Source organism: Homo sapiens, chromosome 12 (assembly GCF_000001405.40).
Source record: "Homo sapiens chromosome 12, GRCh38.p14 Primary Assembly".
Lineage (NCBI taxonomy): Eukaryota > Metazoa > Chordata > Mammalia > Primates > Hominidae > Homo > Homo sapiens.
The window spans coordinates 8,373,379-8,395,957 of record NC_000012.12 but is presented as its reverse complement, the minus strand read 5'-3'; the positions used below and the strand labels follow the sequence as shown (position 1 = coordinate 8,395,957).

The 22,579-nt window shown below is 50.5% G+C and overlaps 1 long non-coding RNA gene across 1 annotated transcript in view, besides 4 other annotated features; it reads left to right on the top strand.

The window, feature by feature from the left end:
• Window positions 5,111-5,405: a silencer, noted in NCBI's record as "tiled region #11326; K562 Repressive non-DNase unmatched - State 13:Ctcf". NCBI's record gives its function as "represses a minimal TATA promoter and a strong SV40 promoter by Sharpr-MPRA in K562 cells {active_cell/tissue: K562}" and the evidence as "EXISTENCE:reporter gene assay evidence [ECO:0000049][PMID:27701403]".
• Window positions 5,111-5,415: a biological region, named in NCBI's record as "Sharpr-MPRA regulatory region 11326".
• The window catches only part of LINC00937 (long intergenic non-protein coding RNA 937), a 33,790-nt gene continuing 16,416 nt past the window's right edge, over window positions 5,206-22,579 (top strand). Inside the window, exon 1 of the long non-coding RNA NR_024420.1 lies at window positions 5,206-5,688. This is a non-coding gene — a long non-coding RNA (long intergenic non-protein coding RNA 937). The remainder of the gene's footprint in view (window positions 5,689-22,579) is intronic.
• Window positions 5,216-5,265: a silencer, noted in NCBI's record as "silent region_4215". NCBI's record gives its function as "represses an Ori minimal core promoter by ATAC-STARR-seq in GM12878 lymphoblastoid cells {active_cell/tissue: GM12878}" and the evidence as "EXISTENCE:reporter gene assay evidence [ECO:0000049][PMID:35858748]".
• Window positions 5,366-5,415: a silencer, noted in NCBI's record as "silent region_4214". NCBI's record gives its function as "represses an Ori minimal core promoter by ATAC-STARR-seq in GM12878 lymphoblastoid cells {active_cell/tissue: GM12878}" and the evidence as "EXISTENCE:reporter gene assay evidence [ECO:0000049][PMID:35858748]".

Below are 22,579 nucleotides of genomic sequence, written 5' to 3'. Positions count from 1 at the left end.
CTCTACCTCCTTCTTTTACGTGGACTCTGCCAAAGACCAGGATACCAGAATGCAGTGGAGTGACCAAGTGTAGTGGGATCTTGGGAACGCGAGTCTGGAGCCAGGCGGCTGGGGTTTGCATCCTGGTTCTGCCCCTCCTTAGCTGGCTGACATGGCACAAGCCACTTACCCTCTCTGAGCCTTACTGTCTTCAGTGGCAAATGGATCTGTCAACGGGCCCCATTGCCTGGGGTTGTTACTGCTGAGATTAAGGGATGCTCGTCCATAGAAGCACTTAGCGTTGTGCCTGGCACATAGTGTATGGTGGATAAATGGGACTTAGGACTAAAACTCATGCCTTGGTGTGTTTTTGCAGTGATGTTTTGTTCTGGGGTGCATCACAAGAGACAAGGTTCCTGGCCGGGCATGGTGGCTCAAGCCAATAATCCCAGCACTTTGAGAGGCCGAAGGGGGACGATCGCTTGAGCCCAGGAGTTTAAGACCAGCCTGGGCAACATGGCGAAGCCTCATATCTACCAAAAAAAAAAAAAAAAAAAAAAAAAAAAAAAAAAAAAAAAAAGCCAGGTATGGTGGTGTGTGCCTGTAGTCCCAAGTACTTGGGAGGCTGAGGTGGGAGGATTACTAGAGCCTGGAAGGTCGGGCTGCAGTGAGCTGTGATCATGCCACTGCACTCCAGCCTGGGTGACAAAGTGAGACTCTGTTTCAAGGAAAAGAGAGAGAGACAGACAGACCCACAAGAGTCTTAAGCCAGAATCTTCATGTTAAAATGCCTTCTGGAGGCTAAAAGGATGATATGTTGATAATGAAATATTTAAAAGGCAGAAACCCCACTGAATTGTTTGGTCCACAGAGGGAAATGGGAATCGCATGACCTGAAGGATGATGGAGGAACTGAACAGAAACCATCCTTGTTTCCTGAATCTGAACATGGCACCCTCTTTTCACGGTGTCTGTATCTGCTCAGTCCGGCGGCCCCTCGAAAAGAGGGAATCTTGATTTTCAAACTTAAAATTTGGCCCAAAGCCCACTGCTGCCCACAATGCCCGTCAGACACATTCCTCTTCCTTTTTAGTTTCTATGGGAATACTCTCTTTGAAGAACCCATGAAGCAGTGTCAGGCTGGTACGAGGATCAGCAGTGATTTCTTTGAGGAGGAGATCCGTTTCTTCACTCACAGGTCATGTCTGAGTGGATCAAGAAGAACAGAGGGCCCTTTTATGAGATTTTGTCTGCGTAGACCATTAGCTTGGTAAAAATGTCAAAACCATCCTCATTCTTTAATAGCAGATTATTTTGGACTTTTCTCTGCCAGAAGCAGCATGGGCATTCAGATGCGTTTAAGGATAAAATGATCTTTCTCATCACCAGGCCTGGTGCTCTGGATGGCTGAGGTTTTAATGTGACTGGATGTCCCTTGGAGTGGCTCCCAGGCTGTGATCTTGTGGTCGGGTGGCAAGGGGTTGCTTTATTCCGTGATGGCTAGAGGATGTCTTAGCAGATAAATCGGGACCCCAGGAGCCCCTGAGTGCCAAGTCCTGCTGCAGGGCATGTGTTTATGGAGGGGATGTGGGGGCGTGGAGGGTGGGGGGTATTGATTTCCTGCCAATATCAGAAGTTTCACAGGCTTCTTGTGTATCCACAAACACCCACCCCATTGAGAAGGCCTAGAAAACCTGGCCCTCCCCAAGCCTTTATTGACCACTTGTGAATGATCCCAGGGTGTGTCTGACCCACAGCTCCTCCTGGAGGGAGAGAAAAGTGTCTCCTAGGTACTTGGTTATCAACCTCAACCACTTGCTGAGCCTTCCCCAAGACCACCAGGCATCTTGGCAGAGATTTCTGGGTTGTCAGGCAGAACCGAGCATTCGAGGGTAATAACTCACTGGAGTCCCTGAAATCCCTGATGGACGCACCAGGTAAAAGCATCCAGGGTTGAAACCAGATCAGGAAGGTTGTTGTCAGCCTGGGGCTCCTGTAGAGGCGCATCCACGTTGCAGGGATTTTCCTTCTTGCTGAGGAGAAACCTGGTTTCTCAGCTTTGCCACAGTCACAACACTTGGGGTGAGACCATTCATGGTGGTGGTGGGGGGCCGTCCTGTGTATTGTAGGATGGTTAGCAGAATCTCTGGTCTCCATCCTCTAGGTGCCATTCTACCCTCCCAGCTATGGCTACCCCAGATGTCTCCAGTTGGTTTCAAATGCCGTGGGGCAAGGGAGTGGTACGTGAGCAAAACCAACCCAGTTGAGAGCCATTGGTCTACACTTGTGGGAATGTTTGAGGGTGAGAGTGTCGAGCTTGGGTCCCTGCTGTACCCTTTATGAGCAATGAGGTCTTGGAAAATTAATACTACTCCAGGGGCCTCAGTTTTCTCATCTATAAAATGGAGATAAATGAGATACACTTTCATAGGAAGGTTATATGGGATTTACTGAGATAATAAGACAGTACATGGAAAATACTGGGCATAGCATTTATTTATTTTTATTTTTTTTTAAGACAGAGTCTTACTCTGTTGCCCAAGCTGGAGTGCAGTGGCATGTTCTCCGCTCACTGCAACCTCCACCTCCTGGGCTCAAGTGATTCTCCTGCCTCAGGCTCCTGAGTAACTGGGACTACAGGCGTGCGCCATCATGCCCATCTAATTTTTGAATTTTTAGTAGAGACGGGTCTTCACCATGTTGGCCAGGATACTCCGATCTCTTGACCTCGTGATCTGCCCGCCTCGGCCTTCCCAAGTGCTGGGATTACAGGCGTGAGCCACCGTGCCTGGCCAAACATAAACTTACTTTCTTACATCTTCTGCTGAACTCTATTTGCTTCTTTTCCCAAATGTCTTTATCCAGAAGAGCTTTTAGCAACAAAGTTACCCAATGCCCTTCCCTAGTCTCTCCTTGCAACTGGCTCTCAGCAGGGGATGGGAGGAAATCCTTGACAGAACCAATTTACATGACTGTTTGGAGGACTCTCGCTAGCCCCAGGACGTGTTTGCATTTTTATATTGGTTACTAGTGTCAGAATGTTTCACGAGTAAGAGCACAGCCTCTATGCTGGATGCCCTGAATTTGAATCTCAGCATTGCCGCTTTGTATATAACCAGAGGATGGATTTGGGGACCCAATGGATCTACCATGACATGAACTTGCACCAACATTCACCTGACCTCCAAAATGCCTATTCTGACTGGTAGGCCCTAGTCTCACCCTAGTGCCAGTTCAGAGCCTGTGTCCAGTGATCCTGCACAAGTCTCTAGTTCCTTTTCTCCTGTTCAGTCATCCTGGTGAAAGGCTGGGTATTCCTTTGGGGGCAGGCTGGGAGAAAGATTGACAGTATAAATGTTTGGCAGTGGAGCAGAGTCCTTTCTAGAGGGGACCTGGCTTCCCATTCAGACAAGGGACTCCGGGTCTGTGAACTGGCTTATGTCTGGAAATTGACTGGGGACTGTGACTCTGTTTTTAGGATTCAGATTAGACTTCTGCTCACCTGACCTAGAACCCTTCTGCAAACACAGATCCAGTAAAAATGTGGCAGGCTTCTTATCTATTTCACTTCTAGGAATGCCACGATCAGCTGGCACCATAGGTCTCTGCGAGTCAGGCTATTCTGGTTGCAGCTTTGACTCTGCTGTCTTTTATGGTAACTGCATCCACCTTGCCTTTGGGGACTGAGTGCTCTGATCACTTGGTCCCAGCCCCTGTAGTGTGCCTATGTCAGTTATCCTCTTTATATCTCAGTCTCTTCCTCTTTAAAATGGGCATCGTAATAGCACCCACCCTCAGGGCTGCTGTGGGGTATAGATGGATTAGCATATGGAAAGTAATAGAAGAGGGTCTCAAAGTCCATGTGTCGTTATCAGAATTATTTCATGATAGGGAGAGCTGGAGGAGGGAGGAAGGTGCTGAGCAGACCCATGTGCTCTGCCACCAGTGTTTCCTGAGCACCTACTCTGTGCTGCCCACTGTGAGAGCTGTTAGGGTTGAAATAGGGAGCACAGCAGGGTAGGGGCTGCCATCAGGAGCTTAGTGGGGAGACCATTGTGCAACATGGTTCCAGCACTTGGGGTGGGGAAGCTCAGGGAGTACAGGGGCCTAGGATCCTGGGCAGAATCATGGAAAGGACACAGCCTCCCCAGCCTCTCCTGCCTCCTCTGCCTCCCTGGCCTCCTCTGTTTCTGTGGCCTCTCCTGCCTTCCTGGCTTCCCCTTCTACCCCGGCCTCCCCAGTCTCCCCTGTCTCTCCTGCTTTTGAGGTGGGCCAGGAGCTGCTGGTGCTCACTTAGCCTGTCCTGGACTCTGGGTGTAGCACCTCCATGTCCAGAAAATACCCCCGAGTTCAGCTCATCACACAGCCAAGGAAGGAGCTCCACACTGACACTAAGGGTGCATCCTGGGCTCATTCATCAGGGCATGCCTCCAAAATATTTCTCCACGTCTCCTCCCTTTGCCCACCTGCATTGTCTCTGTGCCTCAGCCCCGGCTGGGGGCCTGCAAGGATTCCCTATCTCCTCTGCCCCTGCACGGCTGGGTCCAAGGCCATCTGTCCACCCACCACACCTCTCTCACCTTGCACACCACGCTCCAGCCCCACCGTCCTCTTTCTGCTTCTTTCCCAGCCTCTGGGCTTTTGCACACGCTGTTCCCTCTGCCTGAACACCCTCCACTGGGCTGAGAACAACCTCTGAGACTTCTCTCAGCTGTTGCTTCCTTTGGAACAGCCGCTGCTGCTGTCCCTCTCCCAGCTCCAAGACCTGCTGAGCCTCCTGTCTTTTTTAGTTCCCATGCACCCAGCACTTCTCCTTGGCCTCCTTTGGCCCAATTGACAATGTCCATTCTCAATGCCTTCTCACCCAGCGCTGAGCCCCACTGGGTGAAGGCAATGCCTGTCATGTTCACCACAATATCCCCTCCCCCATCACCACGCCTGGTCCACAGTGATGCTCAGAAAAGATCTGTTGGTAGGCAATGGGAAGGTGCATTCATGTCATCCTGCAGGCGGAATTCTCCACGAGTTTTGAGCAGCCTCGGTTTTCCTACCACCTCCAAATCATGGAAGACACAGGGTAAGAGCAAAGACAAGGTGGCTGTGGCCGATGTCCACCCTCTCGGGGCGTCCCTTCTCTTCTCTCCTCCTTGGGCAGGGAGTCCATCGGGGTGCAACCTGGCTGGGGTGGGGAGGAGGTGCAGGGCCTGGTCAGAGCGGGCATGGCCACAGGCAGGAGACAGCGACTGCTTGGTCCGGGGCAGGTGAGCGCAGCGCAGGCCAGGGCCCTACCTGTCCACGGTGCGCGCGAGCGGCCAGCAGAGGGCGCCAGAGGACCACGAGCGGCCCGCGGAGGAGTCCGCGCCGGCCCCGATGCCCAGCTCCGCGCCGCGCGGACCCACCGAGCCCGCGCTCAGACGCCCCAGCTCCGCCGAGAGGCCGCTCGCTCCGGGTCCTTCCTCTTCCCCAGGTGCAGGCAGAGCCCCCGGGGCCATGGCCAGCCCTTCCGGCAGCTCCGAAGCCCCTGGCAAGCCCCGAGGCAGGGATGGCCGGCCCAGGAGGGAGGAGGACGACGTCCCTCCCGAAGAGAAGAGGCTGCGGCTCTTGCTGGAGGGGGGAAGCGCACAGCCCCAGGACTGCGAGGACGGGCAGGACGCGCCGCGGTCGGCCAGGAAGGAGACCGGCACCCAGACAGGTGGCGACGGCAGAGGAGTAAGTGACGCGGGCGCGGGGGTCCCGGGGTGCCGGGGGCGCAGGGTAGGGGCGGCGGGAGGCCCCGTGGCCTGCCCTGGGTTGAAGTTGGTAATTGAGCGGCAACTCCGGCGGGCGCGGAGTGACAGCTCGTGTCGGCCTCCGAGACGCCAGCTGCCCCTTCTCGGCTGTGTGGCTTCGACTTCCTGATTCTCCCACGACGTCCCTGGCCGGGAGACGCGCTGGACTCTGCAGCTAGCCAAAAGGGGAGGGGGAGCCCCGCGTCCTGGGGGCCCCTAGCAGGGGAAGGGCCGGGGGTTGCGCTGAGCCGCCTGTCTGGGGCATCTGTCTGGGACTCTGCCGGTGCCTCTCACCTGGCGAGGGGCCTGTGGTGGGGGTAGGGGGGAAGTCCCTGGCGCCAGGCTTGGCCAAGCCCTGCTCTGCTGGGCTGCGGGCTGGCGGCGCTCACCCAGCTCCTCACCTGTCCCGCATCTTCCTGTTTTTCTTCCCTTTCTGGTTGGGCAGCGAGAGTTGAGAGGAGGCAGATGGCTTCCATCCCAGAAATCGCTCTCCTCTTTCCATCCCTACAGAGAGGGACAGAGAGGCAAAGTTCCTTGCATCCCCCGGGGCACTGTCCCTGTGAGCTCCCGGTGTCCTGCACATGTGAGCCCCTGAGTCAGCGGGCCTGTGAGTGTGGGATGGGGCTCCGTGGCCAGCCTGGCCTCCTGGGGTTCACTTTCTGCTTTCCTACGCCAACTCTTCCTGTGTGGTTTTGCTGGCCTTCCACTGAGGAGGCACATAGGTTTGGAGGACAGATGAGGGCCCACTGGAGAGCTGTACCCCTCAGTGAGGTCCGCCACCTTGATGGTTTTTGATGGATAATGGGGTTGACCTCTTGGTTCCTTCCACATGTTTTTATGTTTGACCATTTGCTCAGCTGAGCTTGTCTTAATAATTGGATTCGTGGTTAATGAGCCCCACATGGGCGAGAGGGCGGCCTTCATTCTGAACCCATTTAGGCAGCACGGGCAGCCCTCCTCGCCGTGGGCTGCATCAGAGCCCCCCCTGCCCAGTCTTGGGGTTGCTCATGGTGACATCCTCATCTCCCCGTGCACGTTACCGCATTCAGAGCTTGGGTCACCTGGACACTGAACTCAGGCGAATTTTCTCTGAGATCCCGGGAGAAGGAGGACAGTTCTTTGGAAGGTTTTCCAGGGCCGATCACGGAAAGGATGAGAAGGGAGAGGTCCTGGTCGGGGACACAATTACAATGGCAGTGTAACGCCGGGAAACTTCATTGCATGAAGTCCTTCTCACTCCCTCTACCTACCTCTTTTACGTGGACTCTGCCAAAGACCAGGATACCACAATGCAGTGGAGTGACCAAGTGTAGTGGGACCTTGGGAACCCGAGTCTGGAGCCAGGCGGCTGGGGTTTGCATCCTGGTTCTGCCCCTCCTTAGCTGGCTGACATGGCACAAGCCACTTACCCTCTCTGAGCCTTACTGTCTTCAGTGGCAAATGGATTTGCCAACAGGCCCCATTGCCTGGGGTTGTTACTGCTGAGATTAAGGGATGCTCGTCCATAGAAGCACTTAGCGTTGTGCCTGGCACATAGTGTATGGTGGATAAATGGGACTTAGGACTAAAACTCATGCCTTGGTGTGTTTTTGCAGTGATGTTTTGTTCTGGGGTGCATCACAAGAGACAAGGTTCCTGGCCGGGCATGGTGGCTCAAGCCAATAATTCCAACACTTTGAGAGGCCGAAAGGGGAGGATCGCTTGAGCCCAGGAGTTTAAGACCAGCTGGGCAACATGGCGAAGCCTCATATCTACCAAAAAAAAAAAAAAAAAAAAAAAAAAAAAAAAAAAAAGCCAGGTATGGTGGTGTGTGCCTGTAGTCCCAAGTACTTGGGAGGCTGAGGTGGGAGGATTACTAGAGCCTGGAAGGTCGGGCTGCAGTGAGCTGTGATCATGCCACTGCACTCCAGCCTGGGTGACAAAGTGAGACTCTGTTTCAAGGAAAAGAGAGAGAGACAGACAGACCCACAAGAGTCTTAAGCCAGAATCTTCATGTTAAAATGCCTTCTGGAGGCTAAAAGGATGATATGTTGATAATGAAATATTTAAAAGGCAGAAACCCCACTGAATTGTTTGGTCCACAGAGGGAAATGGGAATCGCATGACCTGAAGGATGATGGAGGAACTGAACAGAAACCATCCTTGTTTCCTGAATCTGAACATGGCACCCTCTTTTCACGGTGTCTGTATCTGCTCAGTCCGGCGGCCCCTCGAAAAGAGGGAATCTTGATTTTCAAACTTAAAATTTGGCCCAAAGCCCACTGCTGCCCACAATGCCCGTCAGACACATTCCTCTTCCTTTTTAGTTTCTATGGGAATACTCTCTTTGAAGAACCCATGAAGCAGTGTCAGGCTGGTACGAGGATCAGCAGTGATTTCTTTGAGGAGGAGATCCGTTTCTTCACTCACAGGTCATGTCTGAGTGGATCAAGAAGAACAGAGGGCCCTTTTATGAGATTTTGTCTGCGTAGACCATTAGCTTGGTAAAAATGTCAAAACCATCCTCATTCTTTAATAGCAGATTATTTTGGACTTTTCTCTGCAAGAAGCAGCATGGGCATTCAGATGCGTTTAAGGATAAAATGTTCTTTCTCATCACCAGGCCTGGTGCTCTGGATGGCTGAGGTTTTAATGTGACTTGGTGTTCCTTGGAGTGGCTCCCAGGCTGTGATCTTGTGGTCGGGTGGCAAGGGGTTGCTTTATTCGGTGATGGCTAGAGGATGTTTTAGCAGGTAAATCGGGATCTCAGGAGCCCCTGAGTGCCAAGTCCTGCTGCAGGGCATGTGTTTATGGTGGGGATGTGGGGGCGTGGAGGGTGGGGGGTATTGATTTCCTGCCAATATCAGAAGTTTCACAGGCTTCTTGTGTATCCACAAACACCCACCCCATTGAGAAGGCCTAGAAAACCTGGCCCTCCCCAAGCCTTTATTGACCACTTGTGAATGATCCCAGGGTGTGTCTGACCCACAGCTCCTCCTGGAGGGAGAGAAAAGTGTCTCCTAGGTACTTGGTTATCAACCTCAACCACTTGCTGAGCCTTCCCCAAGACCAGGCATCTTGGCAGAGATTTCTGGGTTGTCAGGCAGAACCGAGCATTCGAGGGTAATAACTCACTGGAGTCCCTGAAATCCCTGATGGACACACCAGGTAAAAGCATCCAGGGTTGAAACCAGATCAGGAAGGTTGTTGTCAGCCTGGGGCTCCTGTAGAGGTGCATCCACGTTGCAGGGATTTTCCTTCTTGCTGAGGAGAAACCTGGTTTCTCAGCTTTGCCACAGTCACAACACTTGGGGTGAGACCATTCATGGTGGTGGTGGGGGCATCCTGTGTATTGTAGGATGGCTAGCACCATCCCTGGTCTCCATCCTCTAGGTGCCATTCTATCCTCCCAGCTGTGGCTACCCCAGATGTCTCCAGATGGTCTCAAATGCTGTGGGGCAAGGGAGTGGTACGTGAGCAAAACCACCCCAGTTGAGAGCCATTGGTCTACACTTGTGGAAATGTTTGAGGGTGAGAGTGTCAAGCTTGGGTCCCTGCTGTACCCTTTATGAGCAATGCAGTCTTGGAAAATTAATACTACTCCAGGGGCCTCAGTTTTCTCATCTATAAAATGGAGATAAATGAGATACACTTTCATAGGAAGGTTATATGGGATTTACTGAGATAATAAGACAGTACATGGAAAATGCTGGGCATAGCACTTATTTATTTTTATGTCTTTTAAAGATGGAGTCTTACTCTGTTGCCCAAGCTGGAGTGCAGTGGCATGATCTCTGCTCACTGCAACCTCCACCTCCTGGGCTCAAGTGATTCTCGTGTCTCAGCCTCCCGAGTAGGTGGGATTACAGGTGCCCACCACTACACCTGGCTAATTTTTGTATTTTTAGTAGCGATGGGGTTTCACCATGTTGGCCAGGCTGGTCTCAAACTCCTGACCTAAGGTGATCCGCCTGCCTCGGCCTCCCAAGGCGCTGAGATCACAGGTGTGAGCCACCACGCTGGGCTGGGCATAGCATTGTAACACAGGGAAAGCACAAAATACTTGGGCAATATCTTTTTACATTTGGCTTGTCTAGACTCCATCCTCCATCCCCTCATGCACTGGTGTGGTGCAGACCAGAATATCACCCACCTAGACTGCAGAGTGGATTTGGGTGGCATGTTGGCTTTCTGTACAAGACTTGCCTGTTCCCCACCACATCCCCCTGGTTCTCAGGGTCCAGGATTCCAGGAAGCAGGGATGTGGGCAGGCAGGGTAGGTGGCCCACCCAGTTCACTCCCATGCTGGGGACCTGCAGAGCTGGCTGTCTGAGACAGGGTGTTTGGACCAACATCTGGGTTTCTGGATTTCCATTTGAGCACAGCTGGACTACACAGGCTGAAGCTCTCTCTGCCGAGATATAGATATTTCCCTGGTGACGATCTTTCAAGCTGACATGAAGACATGGCCACCCACTGGAACGTCGTGTGTCTGCCGTGGCGCTCTTGTAATTTGTGAGGCAGGCTCCTGAGGAATGCAGTGCGTAAGTGGGAAATGGTGGGAAGTTCTCGCATCCCCCCCCGGGCCGAAAGTGCTGCCTGCACAGGTTGGTGGATGGTCCTTTGAGCAGGAAGAAGACATGAAGCACATTCCTGTTAGCTACGACAGAGAGGGGCAGGGCACACACTGGACATTTCAAGCCCCTCCAGAAAAGCAAGTCTTACTGTGCTGGGAGTACTTGTGGAGTGCGGGCTGTGTTGCCCTGGGCTTTAATTATTTCAGGAACATTTAACCACAGGGTTGGCAGGCCGGATCTTGATACGTGTTTCTTAGTTGGAAAGACTTTGGACCATAGGGAAATGTCTTCTCAATTCTTTTAATTTCATTAAGGTTATCATTTTTCTTCTTGTGGCCTCTGGAATGTGACACAGAACTCAAGAGACAGGAAGGAAATGAGTTGAAGGCTGGGACAGGGGTCCCTGCCAGGGATGCTGGTGACTCACATGACGGTGTTGATGTGTGGAGTCCGGTGCCTGGTTTGGGGAGTGTTCATGGGATATGTTCCAAAGGACTGACGGACCTATCAGGTACTGGAGGTGAATGGTCAAGTCTGATCTCAGGGCTGACAGTGTCAGGCAAGGACAGGAAGTTGACGTTGGACTCATTGGCTGAGGTTGCTTGGGACCCAGGGAGCAACGTGTGCCAGGACAGATGGGTCTGGGGCTAGGAAGGCAGGTTTGGGCTGGAGACTTGGGCTTGGGACGCATCCCAGGTAGACAGTGGTTGAGGCTGTGGAAATGACCATGATTGCCTGGGATGAGAGTGGAGACGGACAAGATGGCGGTTTTGCTCTAAGCCTGGGGAACCCACCTCCCAGGTTCAAAGGATTCTCCTCCCTCAGCCTCCCAAGTAGCTGGGAATGCAGGTGCGCGCCACCATGCCCGACTAACTTTTGTATTTTTAGTGGAGATGAGGTTTGGCCAGGCTGCTTTCAAACTCCTGACCTCAAGTGATCGGCCCACCTTGGCCTCCCAAAGTGCTGGGATTACAGGCATGAGCTACCATGCCTGACCATTTTTCAATATTAATTTTTATGAAATATTTTCAAACACATTTTACTGTACATTGGAAAAGTCAATCATGATTTGAAAACTTTATCAAAATCCAATCAAATGTCAATTAACCATTTAATTGTGGATGAGTAAGGAGACTATTTTGACCAAAACATGTTAGAACAATTACCACTTATAGAAATAATCTATGTTTTAATGTTTTAGTTGAATTAAACAATCTTTTATATTCTGTCCAGGCACAGTGGCTCACACCTGTAATCCCAGCACTTTGGCAGGTCGAGGCTGGTGGATCACCTAAGGTCAGGAGTTCGAGACCAGCCTGGCCAACATGGCGGAACTGTCTCTACTGAAAATACAGAAATTAGCCAGGTGTGATGGCACACACCTGTAATCACAGCTGCTTGGGAGGCTGAGGCAGGAGAATCATTTGAACCTGGGAGACAGAGGTTGCAGTCAGCCGAGATCGCACCAATGCACTTCAGCCAGCCTGGGTGACAGAGTGAGACCCTGTTTCAAAAATAAATAAATAAATAAAATAGAATTCTGAATTTTATTTTTAATAATTATTTTCTAAAAAGAATGTCTTGTTTTCTGGAGCTGTTGAATTTATTGAATTGACAAAAATTATGTACAAGAGGGTACAACATGATGAGATTGAAGTATGTATACATTACAAAATGGCTAGATCAAGCTAAATAACATATCACCTCCCAGACTTATTTTTTTATGGTGAGAACACTTAAAAAATCTACTCTCTTAGTGATTTCCAAGTGTATGATATGTTGTTATTAACTATAGGTACCATGTTGTCCCATGGATATCCTGAACTTATTCTTCTTCTCTAAAAATGACATTCTGTGTCCTTTGGCATCTGCCCACTTCCCCACCCTGGCAACCATCATTCTACTCTGCTTCTGTGAACTCAACTTTTTTCTTTTCTTTTTCATTCTTTTTTTTTTTGAGACAATCTCATTCTATTGCCCAGGCTGTAGTGCAGGGGTGTGATCTTGGCTCACTGCAGCCTTGAATTCCCAAGCTCAATCAATCCTCCCACCTCGGCCTCCTGAGTATCTGGGAGTACAGGCATGCACCACCATGCTCCACTAATTTTTGCATTTTTTTGTAGAGATGGGGTCTTGCTATGTTATGCAGGCTGGTCTCGAACTCCTGGGCTCAAGCAATCTGCCGGCCTCAGCCTCTCAAAGTGCTGGGATTACAGGCATGAGCCACCATGCCTGGCCGAGTTCAACTTTTTTAGATTTCACATATAAGTGAGATCATGTGGTATTTGTCGTTTTGTGCCTGGCTTATTTCACTTAACATAATATCCTCCAGGCTCATCCATGTTTTCTCAAATGGCAGGATTTACTTCTTTTTGAAGGCTGAATAGTATTCCATTGTGTACGTACACTACATTGTTGCTGGAAGTGTAATGGAGGCCAGTTGGGGGAGGAGGGGGAAAAGATTCACTCTAAGTATAGATGCTCCAGCACCCACCCAGGTTGTGTGCAAGGAAGTGCAGGATGCTCCTGGTCTTGCAAACTGTGGTTTGTGGGACTCCAAAGCCCCTATCCTTCCACAGTGCTTTCTGTCTTGTTATCACATTTCCTTGGAGGAGAGCCCAGCCTTGGTGGAGAGCCCTGCTCTGGCTTTGTCCCTCGGCATGAGATGGCAGAGGATGGTGCTGCTGGGAGACCCTCACGTCTGCACACTGGGGGCTGCTTGCCTTCTCCATTCCTCCTTCAAGTATCTGAGCAGCTCCTGTGTGCCAGCTGCTGGTCTACAAGATGGATGGGTCCTTGGAGATCACGCTGTAGCAGAGGAGGCAGGCTGTAGCCCACACGCCACAACCAGCCCCCTGCCTGTTCACACAAATAAAGTTTTATTGGCACACAGTCACACCCATTTCAGTGCATATTGTCTGTGGCTGCTTTCCTGCTACAATGGAGAGTTGAATAGTTGGGACAGAGACCTATGGCCTGCAAAGCTGAACTATTTACCATCTGGCTCTCAAGAAAAGGGGAAAATATGCTTATCTTTGTACCCCGACAGTCTTAGATTAAGAGGACTTTGTACCACCCTGACGTCCCAGGTGGCCATGAGTCCAGCCACCGCTGAAATGTACGCAAGTCTGGGCTAGGGTTGCAGCAGGTGAGGCCCAATTTTGCAGGTCTTTGGCATCAGGGGCACAACCCAGGATTTTGAGTGGGGTTTCCTCACCACTGTGGCTGGGCACTGGGCTAGTGTGCTTTCTGATTTTTGTATGGGGAAGAGAAAGGAGGGAGGAAATGGCCACTTGTTGCCCTGTTCTAACGTTTTCCTAAGATGGGTCTCCAGGCAAGGGCTTGGGATCTCCCCTTGCACAGCTTACAAAACCCAGTGAGGCCGGCTGTCTTGGCGCTGCCACTCTGAGGGATGGAGCCCCCAAATTCCTAGGAAGGGAGATAAAAGAATGGTTTCTGCAAGCACAAGAAGTGGCGTTATTGAAATTAGCATTTCCCCCAAGTTTTATAATGTCTAGGCATGCATATTTAAGTGTCTGTCTCAAAAGCTCTTGCTAATAACAAGATGGTGCATTTAATTTCCTTTTTTTGTTCTCTGAGCAACATGCAGCTTCCTGCACAGCCCTCCTTGCAGGCAACTGCACTGAGGTGACAGTCCTCCTGACTGCCAGCACAGATCCCCAGGGCCTCTGACAGCCCTGTATTCTGGGGGCAGCCTTTCCCCCTTCTATTTGGCCCCAGCTGGAAGGGGGCAGGTCACCCACAGCCCAGCACAGGGCTCCTGCCTTAGCTTCTCTAGGGAGTCTGGCTCCCTCTGACCCTCTAGACCTCACCAGCTGAGGATCAGAGCCCCGGGGCAGGAGCCAGGGCCAGGGGGCATTGGGGGGTGGTTTGAGAGTGCAGCTCTGGAGGGGGGCAGGGCGGGCCCAGGAAAAGCTGCTCAGGGGAGACTGCAAAGAGATGGCAGAGTTAGGACAAGAGGGCCAGGCATGGTGGCTCACACCTGTAATCCCAGCACTTTGAGAGGCCGAGGTGGGCAGATCACCTGAGGCCAGGAGTTTGAGACTAGCCTGGCCAACATGGTGAAAACCTGTCTCTACTAAAAATACAATAATTAGCCGGACATGGTGAAACCTATAATACCAGCTACTCGGGAAGCTGAGCCACGAGAATTGCTTGAACCCCGAAGGTGGAGGTTGCAGTGAGCTGAGATTGTGCCACTGTACTCCAGCCTGGGCAACAGAGCAAGATTCCATCTCAAAAAAAAAAAAGTCAGGACAAGAGGAGGAGGGAAGAGAAGGGAGCTGTGGGGCAGCAGCCAGGACCTTAAAGGCACAGAAGAGGAAGCTTGGATTTCCAATTCCAAAGGACATGAAGTCACACAACTTTATTTAACCTGCTCCAGGTGAGGCTGGGCTTTGTGTATTTTCCTTGTTTTCCTTTTCCTTGTGTTCAGGCTGTTGTGGAAACAGGTACACAGGGGCTCTGTGTGGCACCCTGTTCTGGTGGCCTTCAGGAAGCATGGGGTGCCCTGGGTTCCTTGGCTTCATAACCCCCTTTCCTCCTGCCATCCCTGACTGTGCCCCCCACCTTATCCCTCAGGCCATCCTCCTGGAGGGGACTGGCCAGGGCTTGTGTCCTTGCTAGTCTCTAGGAAGGAAGACTCTGTGGCTTGAAAGCTTGTCGGCTTAAGTTGCAAGGTGTAGGTGCCTGAGAGGGCATGTGCACAGCCCTCTTCACTGATCCATTCATGTTTTTCTTTTTTGACTCTTTTCTATGTTGTCCTGATGGAGGGGTAAGCCCCTGCCTTCTGCCTTTCCTGCCTTGGACTCTTGCAATAGGACCAGATGAGAGGGTCCATGTGGTCTGAGAATTCAAGCAATGCAGGCCAGGCATGGTGGCTCACACCTGTAATCCCAGCACTTTTGGAGGCCAAGGCGGGTGGGCCAAGAGTTCGAGACCAGCTTGGCCAAAATAGTGAAACCCTGTCTCTACAAAAAATACAAAAGTTAGCCAGGTGGTGCGCACCTGTAATCCTAGTTATTTGGGAGGCTGAGGCAAGAGAATCACTGTATCCCAGAAGGAGCAAGTTGCAGTGAGGAGCAGGTTGCAGTAAGGAGAAGGTTGCAGTGAGCAGGAGGTTGCAGTGAGCCGAGATTGTGTCCCTGGACTCCAGACTGGGCAATAGAGCGAGACTATGTTTCCAAAAAAAAAAAAAAAAATTATATAGAAAACAAAAAACAAAACATCCTCTCGACTTGCTTTTCTTGATCTTGCTTCTCAGAGGTAACACTGGGAAGCGTTGGGGTATACCTCTCCACACCTTTTTCTTTGATTTCTTTTTATTTTTTATTCTACGTTCTGAGATACATGTGCAGAATGTGCAGGTTTGTTACATAGATATACATGTGCCATGGTGGTTTGCTGCACCTGTCAACCCGTCATCTAGGTTTAAGCCCTGCATGCATTAGGTATTTGTCCTAACGCTCTCCCACCCCTTGTCCCCCACCCCCGACGAGCCCCGGTGTGTGATGTTCCCCTCCCTGTGTCCATGTGTTCTCATTGTTCAACTTCCACTTATGAGTGAGAACCCGCAGAGTTTGGTTTTCTGTTCCTGTCCACACCTTTTTCCTCTGTGCATGCAAGCACATGTATTTGCACGTAAGTGTTTATTGTAACCTTTTTTAAAAAGTAAAAACGGAATAATGCTGTATTTATTCTTTGGAAAGCCTGCTTTTCAGGCAGCGTGTCTTTGACATTGTCTCCCATTGGAACCTGGGAACCACCTTCTTCTCCCAGCAGTTATTCTGATGTGTGGATGCACCTTGCTTCGTTTAACCAGCCCTGCAGCGATACGTCTGTGGATGGTTTCCGCCTTTTCCCAGTCACAGACGGTGTTCTGATGAATTTCCTCGCACACATCACTTGGTGCTCTGTGTCTGCGTTTCTGTGGGATGTTCCTGGAGGTGGGCTGTCTAGGTCAGAGGGGGATCTGTGCTTAATTTGCATCCTGTGCAAAATTCCATCCAGTCATCTGGCTCCCCAAGGGCTCACATGGTACTGTCCTCTGTAGACATCATCTTCTGCAGATGATGGCACGACCGCCTCTCTTTTACTCACACCAGTCTGCACCCTGGTGTCCTGGGGGGTCCAGCCCCTACCTGCTTGTCTGCCCCCACCCCACAGTCCCCCCAACCCCTGCTAACAGGGACTCTGGCTTCTGAGCTCTGGCAGACTGCCTCACTCTGGAGAAGTTTGCTTTCTCAAACATTCCTGGCAATGTTACTGCAAATCTCGAGGCCTGCATTTGCCTTCTTCAGGCCTCAGTTTCCTCAAAAGTAAAATGGGGATAATGTGATGCTACTGTCTGCATCCTAGAGCTGCCATGAGGGTTCAGTGAGATCAGTGTTGAGAGCACGTTCACAGCGCCGGCCTTGTGCGCAGTCAGCACGTGTGGGGCAGGGCTGTTGCTGATACGTGGTTGACTGTCATTGCTAGACTGTGGCTTTACCAGGGGCATTGTCTTTAGTGCCGAGCCCAGAGCCACCCCAGTACCTGCTGTGTTTATAGAGTGATTGAGTGTCAGGGTCAGAGACTGGGGCAATGGCAGCAGAAACAGAGGAAAGAAGTGGGGCTTCTAATAGGTCCTGGACCAGTGGCCTTCTTGCCAAGGTCTGGGGCTGTGCTGTGTGTTCTAGGCCCGAGACTGGAAGCTAGGCCTGGCTGCAGCCCCGGCTTAGCTGGGGAAGTGCAGGTCAGCATCCTGCTTCTTTAGGACACCTCCAAGCCCAGCTTAGACGTGGATGCCAGGTGACCCTCTGTTTGCTCTGAGCCCAGACAGAGGACAGGGAAGTGTGCAAGGGTGGGGACCCTCATCACAGCCCTTGACTCTGTAAGGCATATGGGTTTGTGTGCATGTGTGAGCACGGCCGTGGCTTCTCTGTGAGTTTCAAGCTCGAGGTTGTGTTTACACGGGGTTAGGCTTGCCAGTTAAAATACAGGAAGTCCAATTAAACCTGAATTTCTCATTAACCTTTTTTTTTTTTTTTGGTGCAAATATATCCCATGCAATATTTGGGACCTGCTTACCCTAAAAAATGATTTGTTGTTTATCTGAAATTCAAGTTAAACTGGCATCCTGTCTTTTCACTTGCTACGTATGAGAGTTCCGTGTGGGGGTTATCAGTGTGCATTTGTGAGTTCCAATGTGAAGGACCCTCTCCAAGTGTCTGTAGGTGCCAGGATGGAGATGGACAGAGAAGATCCTCTCGGGCTGCTTTGGTGGCAGGTAGAGGCTGTGGGGTTGGACACTTCAGCCCAGGGGCCTAGGCAGCACTTTCCAGCACCTGTGTGCTCCTGTCTTCTTCATGGGGGCTGACTTCCCTGCCATCTCTCTCCAAATACGGTGGCAAGAGCTATCCCATCCGCCCCCATCTGGAGCTCGGCTGCCCAGCCAGACAAGATGGCAAACAGTGTGCAGATGGCTGCAAAGCTTTCCCCAGCTCCTTCTGCAAGGGTCCTGCAGATGAAATGGAAGCCCTCATCCTCACCGCCTCCCCCTTCCAGAAAACCCAGGCAACAGCCACCTCTGAATGCTGCTTTAGATGCTTCTCCCTCCTGGTGATTAAACCACCCCAAACAAATAAAGCACTGCATTTCTACCATAGGCTTGTTCACATGCATGCAGCCGATTGTCTTGGATGCGCCCGTGTGCCTGATTCATCAGGGTGAGGGGTTCTCCTCTGAGGTGCTTGCAGAGAGCTGCTTGCAAAGAGCTGCTTAATTTTCATCTGAAAGACTCTCTGTAGAAACCAGGCCCAGCTTTGGAAGAAAGCCGTTTATCCCCCTTTAGCAAATTCTGTGTCATTCTTTTTTTTTTCTTTCTTTTTTGAGACGGAGATTCACTTTTGCTGCCCAGGCTGGAGTGCAATGGTGCAATCTCGGTTCACTGCAGTCTCTGCCTCCCGGGTTCAAGCGATTCTCCTGCCTCAGCCTCCTGAGTAGCTGGGACTACAGACACCCACAACCATACCTGGCTAATTTTTTTGTATTTTTAATAGAGAAGGAGTTTCACCATGTTGGCCAGCCTGGTCTCGAACTCCTGACCTCAGGTGATCCACCTCGGCCTCCCAAAGTGCTCGGATTACAGGTGTGAGCCACCATGACTGGCTGGAATTCTGTGTCATTCTGGATACTTATCATGACTTCAAGCATCCAGGACTCTGTCCTGGATATCCTGAGCCTGAGGCTGTATGTGTGTCCAGCTGGCTTGGAGGTTGTCTACAGGCAGGTTGAACTTGGCCTCTGAGTCCATGGCAGCCTCACATGGGAAATACCACCAAGGAGCTTCATCCTGTGCTTTTAGGAGATAGTTTCTATTTAGTCATTGCTGAATCTGTTACAGACAGTGTCTCAATTTCTTGCAAGTCCTGTATGAGGTGGGTGCTGTGATTATCCACATGTTCACTTGTTCTCTCTGGCCTCTTTCAGGCTCTTGCACTTCCTTTGCTCTTTTCCTGCCACGGGGCCTTTGCACATCCTGCTCTTTCTGCCTGGAAAGATTTTCCCTGTCCCTACCCGTTCACCTGGTCACAGTCTCATCTGACAGTGGAGTCACTACATCCTCTGGGACGCCTGACCACACTGACTCAGTCACAGCAACCCCCTGTTATCTGCTTTCATGACACCAGGTGTCATGAGCTCAGCTACGGCTTCCTATTTCTGTGCGTGTCATCCTTCCCCTTCAAGACTGTGGTCACCGTGAGGGCCAGGGCCATGCCTGTTCCTGATTCTCATTTGTGTCTCTGGTGTTTAGTATATGCTTACCTAGAATTTGATTAATGAATGACGGCATACTCATTTTACAGGTGAGAAAGTTGAGGCTCAGGAACATTATGTAACTTGCTCAGTATTAGATGGTGATGGTTTGAAGCCATCTGGCTGGTCGCTGGGTGCACACTCTTAACCACTTCACTATGGTTCTTTCTCTTAGTAGTTCTCCAACAGCAGGAGTGAGAGACAACTTTAGGACAGGCGTAACCAGAATCCCAGGGGTTATCCTAGAAGGTGGTGTCAGGAACATGCTTGCCTATGGGCCTTCTTACTGTATTGCATAAAATACCCTGTTTTTCTGACTTGCCTTTAGTAAAGACCTTAGCAATATTTGAAGCACAGTTGTCAGTAGGAAAGGGTGGGTGTTTATACTTTTTTAAAAAGGAGTCTATATCATATTTATCTTGTGGTCTGCCATGCCCCCCAATCTTCTTCAGCTTCAGTTATGCAAAATTCACACTTCTTCTCTTTACTGCCTCTCTCTTACCTGTTCAGTTTCTTTTCTGTGTTCGAGATTGCTTAGAATTTTTTCCCCACTACGACAGCCTGTTTCCCACCTGTATCCCGCAGCCAGCTTGTTCTGGATTTTGTCAACAACAGTTCCAGCGTTTAGTGAGGGCTGGACTGAAGGAAAGCCTTAGAAAAGGCTGTGTGATGAAAGATGAAGATACCTAATGAGCAGGCAGTCATCAGGGTTAATTCAAAGGCTGGAAGAAGGGCTGACCCGGAGGACTGGAAATGTCTTTGAGCTGAAGGTCATGTGCAGGTGGAATGAAGAGGGTGAGCCTTTTGGGGCAAACTGCAAGTATTTGATAATATCCCTGTCCTCATGGTTGGGGAAATCTTGATAGGCATCCTCAATGTGATGGAGGGATTAAGGAACCCGTGGCTCTACCTGTCCAGCATGGCAGCAACATGACACAGCCAAGTTATTGATTATTGGTTGCCCAGCTCTCATCACTCAACATCTTCTGTTAGTTATAGCTGTAATTTGCATTAGTTGTCAATGCCAGTTTTGACTTTCCTAGTCAATAAAGTGTTCTGAGAGTGGCGACTAAGGCTGAGCACTACCCATAATCATGAGTATTACAGAGGCAAGCCCCCTTGCCCACCCACCTGCAGGTGATGACACACCCTAGGAAATCACTCAATTCTTTGGAGGACCTTGAATAAAGGCTCAAGTCCATCTGTTCATCTGTCCGTCCATCCATCCACCATTCCGTCCATCCATCCATCCATCCATCCATCCATCCATCCATCCATCCATCCAGACATGCATACATCCATCCACCCACCTACCCATCTATCCACCCGCCCACCCACCCATCTATCCATCCAGCCCACTCTCTTATGCACCCAGCTATCATCCACCTACCCACCCACCAACCCATCTATCCATCCACTCACCCATGCACCCATTCACTCATCTATCCATCTATCCACCCACCCGTCCACCCATTTATCTATCCCTCCACCCCCTCAACCACTCATCCATTTCTCCACCCACTCAGCCATCCCTTCACCGACTCAACCACCCATTCATTCATTCACCTGCCCACCCACCCATCTTTCCATCCACCCATCTATCCACCCACCCACCTATGTATCCATCCACTGCTTGTCCTTCTGTTCATTTATTCCACAAAGACTCATTAACCACCTACTAGATTCTGGGGAGGTATCTGCTCCAGTAGTTGAGAACATGGTTTCTGGAATCTGATTCCCTGAGCTCAAATTGAGCTGCCTCCTAGCTAGCTGCTTGGGTAAGTTATAGAAACTGTGCTTTGATTTTCTTATCTGAAAATTGGCTATTAATAGCTTCTACTCTTGCAGATATAGTGAGGATTAAATAAGATGTCACGTTAAAAGTGCATCATCGACACTCAATAGAGATTAGGTTTTACCATTCATTATTATTCTTAGCAGATGCTGCAGATAACGTGGAGAGCATATGAAAGACACATGTTTGAACCAATAGTGACATACAGGTGCTAAGTTCTGCAGTAGGGGAAGGGCAGAGAGCCATGGAGAAGGCCTGGCCCAATCCTGGAGCCTCAGAAAAAAGTTCCCCGTTGAATTGCTGTTTTAGCTGAGACTTCTGGGATGGGTAGTAGTTGGAGATCCCAGACAGGAGGTGACCGAGTTAGCCAGGGAAAAATTGGGTCCTGGCACCCATGGCAGAGTTGAGTGATCCAGTCCTTCTGTCTCCTCTGGCTGGAAGTCCACCAGATCTGGGAATGTCCAGTTGGGGGAGGGGGCTGACAATGATCATGACCTTCACCTGTCCTCACATGTCCTCTGTGTATCTGCAAAGCCTCTGCCTCAGTCTCCTCTTCTGGAAAGTGGGATTGGAAACCACATCTGCTTCTCTCCCAGGACTGCTAGGAAGACAAGATTAGATGGCAGGTGAGAGCTCTTTGAAAATGAAAACATTCTGCTATTTGAATGCAAAGTGTTCTTCTTTGCCTGTGATGTTTCCTAACCTGTGAAATCACACTGGACCTCGAAGCTGTCTATTAAAAAAAAATAGCAAAGTGGCTGGGCATGGTGGCTCATGCCTGTAATCCTAGCACTTTGAGAGGCTGAGGGGGGTGGATCACTTGAGGCCAGGAGTTCGATACCAGCCTGGCCAATATGTGAAACCCCATCTCTACTAAAAATACAAAAATTAGCCAGGTGTGGTGGCATCTGCCTGTAGTCCCAGCTACTCGGGAGGCTGAGGCACAAGAATCATTTGAGCTCAGGAGGCAGAGGTTGCAGTGAGCCGAGATGGCACCACTGCACTCCAGCCTGGGCGACAGAGCGAGTCTCTGTCTGAAAACAGAAAAAAAAGAAAAAAAAAAAAGCAGAGTTAACACTTCCTCTGTCTCTCCCCTAGGGGAGGCAATTTCTCAAAGATTGTTGTTGGATTTTACACACAGGGAAATCTAAGGAAGGTGTGGAAATCAGACCAGGACTCCAGACTCTCGTCTTCCTGTTTACAGGGTCTTCAATGGGGGAGGCACTTTGGGTTCTTTCCACAAGATTGCTTTGTAAAAAAAAAAAAAAAAAAAGAAACAAAAAACTCAAAAAAAATCCCTGACCTAAATATTCACAAGGGACCTTAGGCAATATCTGCAAACAAAAGTGAGTGATGAGTGGAATCTGTCATCTTTACAACTAAGACAGCTCCAGAGTTGAAGCAAGTGGAAATATCTCTAGAGACAGAGATTTGGGCGGGTTTTGCCAGTTACAAGCTATGAGAACCTGGGCAGGTTTACCTTTCTGAGCTTCTGTGACCTTGTAAAATAGGCTGCATTGCGCTAAACGTGCAGGAGGAATCCCAGCATCCTCCTGTGCACAAGGCTGGTTTCTTCCCATCCTTTTCCTTGTTCTGCCTCTCTCCTCCCCTCCAAGAGATGAATACATTTGGACCCAGTAGGGGCCTGTGTTTGCAAAGGCTCG